The sequence below is a fragment of the Homo sapiens genome, chromosome 5, assembly GCF_000001405.40.
Source record: "Homo sapiens chromosome 5, GRCh38.p14 Primary Assembly".
NCBI classification, from domain to species: Eukaryota; Metazoa; Chordata; class Mammalia; order Primates; family Hominidae; genus Homo; species Homo sapiens.
Genome location: NC_000005.10, coordinates 51,171,298 through 51,175,696, shown reverse-complemented (window position 1 = coordinate 51,175,696; position 4,399 = coordinate 51,171,298). Strand labels below are relative to the sequence as shown.

The following is a 4,399-nucleotide window of genomic DNA, read 5'->3' as shown; positions in this document are numbered from 1 at the left end:
ATATTTTAAAACTAGACACATATTATTGGCTATTTTTTACTTCAAAATTCTATCTAAGGGGTTAAAAGTGGCTAAAGAAATATGTCTATATCTTAGCAATGATTTTTTAGTGTAACAAATTCAGGTCATTTTTCTCATTCTTTTGATGTGATTCTAGACTTTTACAAGTTCAGTCATTATTCCTGCTTCACAGAATATTGATAAGCTTATCAATGTATGTACATATGTATATATACGTTATATATATATGTTAGAGTACATAGAGCGTTCATAGAGCGTACTCTACCATATATATGTACATATATTGATAAGCTTATATATTGATAAGCTTATGCATCTGTGCAATTTCCTGTATATATATGTTACAGTGCATATCTCTAATATATACAGAAAATTGCACAGATGCGTAAAAATCATAAAGTTCATAAAATAGTAATATGAAGTCTTCATGATGTAATGGAAAGAACCCTCAGTTAGAAATCACAAGAATTTTGAGCTCTTAACTCTCAATTAGAAATCAAAGGAATTTCAATTTCAATTAGAAATCAAAGGAATTTCGATTTCAATTAGAAGTCAAAGGAATTTCGATTTCAATTAGAAATCAAAAGAATTTAGGCTCTATTTACCCTTAGTTTTCCTCATTGATAAAACGCAATCCTATAGGAAAACAGGAAATGGGCATAGAATTGCTGAGAAATACACATACATTAAATACACATACATGCATAGATGGGTAAAAATCATAAAGTTTATAAAATAGTCATATGAGATCTTCATGGTGTAATGGAAAGAACCCTTAGAAATCAAGAATTTTGAGTTCTTAGGCAAGCCATTTAGCCTCTATTAATTCTTAGTTTTCTCATTTTTAAACTGCAATCCCATAGGAGAACACAAAGGAAATGGGCATAGAATTGTTGAGAGATACACATACATTAAATTTACATGCATATAAAAGTAGTTTTTAAAACACCTTTTATTTTGAGGATCAGATACAAATATTTTTATTTTTTCTTGCCAATTAAAATGTCTTGGTCTCTTTCGAATGCTTCATATTTGTGGTTTTGATTCAGTAATTTAAAAGAGATGGGAACTTCCATACCAAAGACACATTGAAGTTGCCATGATGAAAACTGACACTTACTCAATTAATAACCTTGATAAGTAACCTAGCACTACTGTCCTTTCCTACTTGAGTGGAAAATAGACATTACCTAACAAAGAAGATTCTTCTCTCCCTTCTTTGAAGTCCCTTCAATTCTCATGGTAAGTCATTTAATGATTTGGGGGAACACTGATTTGGTATCATCCATACTCTTAATACAAACACAGGACCTCTAGGGGGTAGGTTTGGTTGGCTATCACATTTCTATATTATTGCACTGTTGCATGCTATTTTAAGCATGCTTAAACGAGGCAGACTTTTAGTTTAAGAAAAATATGTTACAAAAATAATAGAGCCCTTGACTTTGGGAAATCTATCTTTATTTTTTCATTGTCTATACATTACTATGAAAATACCAAGCATCAAACAATAACATGCATTGGTCCAATGTTATGGAAAATTGAAAGTACCAAAATACAAAACAATATAAGCAGACTTGATATATTTAATTACCTTCTATGGAACTTATATTAGAAATTTTCAAGCAACATAGCAGCACTGAGCCTCACTCATATATACAGACATTCATATTTTGTGTCAGACACTTGAGGAAAATCCAAAATTTAAAATTTAATATATGATCACTCTAAGAAATACTTTTCTTTCTAAATAAAAAAATTGTAGAACAAAGCTAATAATTGTCATTTTCATTTATCATGTGTGTTTTTCTTTTTGTTTCTTCTTTTGAATTTTTAACAATCAAGTTTGGAGACTCTTTGCTGGTGTGTTGGAGAGTTTGAACATATACCTAATTAAAAAAAAAATAAAAATCAGCAACACCCACAAAGCAGTGTCACCAAACAATAAATACTGCTTCCCTCTAAAATATCGCTTAAAGATGAATGCATTTCGGGAGTTGAAAGGTGGCGGCGCACCTGCGGCACAACCTTACATGAAAAATAAAGACAACTGGGTTGTAGGGTGCCTTTCCCTCTTCAAAATAAAATTCTTTACAATATGCAAGACAAATGGCACAAAAGTGAAAGGGCAGTGATGCAGATTGGATAGGCTTACAGCGTAATTGAATTAAGGCTTGTGTGCCACATATGACCACAAAGCAGGCCTATGGCTCCAGCCTGCTGAATGGAGGTGGCTGGCCTGTCAATAAAGACCCTTTAAACTGGTTAAATGCATCATAAGCGTGTGCAGAGAGCTTTCTAGCTAACAGGTGGCTGAGTAAACCTCAGCTGGTGCCACACAGGGCTGTCGCATTGACCTTCTTTAGGATAATTTCAGTCCTCTTTTTTTTAAAAAAATTTGTTACTGTACTCGCTGTGGTGAAAACAATTTAGGGATGAATAATTTCTTTTGGTCCCTAGAGGCACCAGTGGCGCTCTCTCTCACCCTTTCCCTTTTTTTCTTGTACTTTCTGTCTCACCCCCTCTTTTTCCCGGTCTTGCGTCTGAATTTACATAAAGGAACAGTGACAACAGCAAGCTGAAAGGCATAGCTGGTGGGAGGATTAAGTATATCATTGAAAGGAATTATGTTGTAAATGACTGGGAGGGGTAGGGGCTTCTGTTCCTTGCTCCCATCTGGTCCTTAAAGAATACCTTGTTGTAATTACCCCCAGATGGTTTGTGCTACACTGGGGTCTGGACAGCCAGGTGCCACTGTGCCCTGCTGGGTGTGATATTCATTGCTACATGCAGTGACAAAAATGGACTTTATTGAAACCTAATTTCTTCCAGGGTATTACACAAATATGAAATGAACCCAGTTCATCGAGAGAGAGCTTTGTTTGTTTCCAAGCCGAAACGGTCTCACCTAAGATAAGGCTGCCTGGTTATTTCACTTTTCACAACTATCCTAAAAGGAAGAAGCAAAAACAATTTACAGTATGTGCTGGGTTTAATTCAATATTTTAAATAATGGAAATAGCATCGATGGCAGGTTTTTATTCCTGACGGTTAGGTAGTTTTACATTAGTATCTACCTAAAACTTTCAAGACCATGTTTCGAGTATTTTATTATTCGAATTAACAAGAAGTAAAGTAAATTATAGTATCCAGGCCATAAACACATTTTGATATTAGTGAGTGGATTCTTATATAACTTAAAATTTAATCACACATTATTTACTGTAAAATATAGCTCATCAGCTAATTTTAAAAACAAATTTGAGCATTTGTGTTGTACTTTAGCAATGATATTAATATAGAAAAATAAGAAAATGAGAAATGAATATTAAAAGTTAGCTGTGTGTTGCACAAAAGTGGAATTTTACAAAATTGCACTTATATTAACTATCAGGATATTTAACTTTTAATTTTAATGTTATTAATACATTTTAGAAGCATCAGTAATCTGAAAATAAAGATAAACATCATAATTTTATGTTTTGTTTATATTCAGTTTATTGTATGACATTTGCAATACATCTAATAATTCTTATGTGAGAATTGCATAACAGAATTTCTATCAGATCTTGCCAAATTAAAAACTAAATATTCCTACATTCCACATTTTTCTTATTATAATTTTGGCTATATTAACATTTTACAAAGTTACTCAAATTCATTACTTTATTAAATTTTCAATGTAGAATTTGGACAATTTTAATATGAAAATAAAACGGGAATTAAAAGGAAGAGCAGAATATGGAAATTTTTATACTCCTTTTATTTTCCCCCTTAAGTTATAAGTTTTTATACGGCATAAAGAAAACATACACAGGGTTAATCTTAATACGAATATTTTTCTTTAATATATTTAAGCAATGTGTTAAACTGTGTGTTGGATAAAAACAAAATCAAAATGCTTCTTGATGCATATATAAGAGAGATTTAAATATATAGACAAATAGGGGGAATGGTTTTAAATACTGGCAAGTTATGTGTTAGGAGCAATTGTTCTGCAACACAACTTTTTGAACAGGTTTTATGTACTTTGTGAATAAAACTTTGAGCTGACAGTCTTTCTGTCTATAAATGCAGTCCCAACATTCTATCCAAATTTTACTGTATTTTTGAGGTAAAATCATTCTATTAGAATCCATAATATACACACAATATCTAGGAAGACAATGACAGAAGTAAAATAATTTTGAAGGAGGAACTGGACTTTGGCATCCTGGGCTTGACCATGGCTGCTCATGAGCCCCCCTGATCTTGGTCATCCATTTAAACTTCATTAAACTTCAGTTTCCTCTTGCAAAATGATTGTAAAGGAGCTTGATTTCAAGATCAGATTTGTGTTTTTAAAGATACATGTGTTTGGCGTTATTGTGAAAGATAC

The 4,399-nt window shown here is 32.3% G+C and overlaps 2 annotated features.

Annotated features, from left to right (window-relative positions):
- Window positions 1,542–3,581: an enhancer, noted in NCBI's record as "VISTA enhancer hs1321". NCBI's record gives its function as "enhancer in: forebrain[18/19] | cranial nerve[13/19]" and the evidence as "EXISTENCE:transgenic organism evidence [ECO:0001131][PMID:17130149]".
- Window positions 2,061–2,954: an enhancer, noted in NCBI's record as "OCT4-NANOG hESC enhancer chr5:50468577-50469470 (GRCh37/hg19 assembly coordinates)". NCBI's record gives its function as "activates a minimal SCP1, AML or CMV promoter by ChIP-STARR-seq in naive and primed H9 embryonic stem cells {active_cell/tissue: H9 hESC(naive and primed)}" and the evidence as "EXISTENCE:reporter gene assay evidence [ECO:0000049][PMID:30033119]".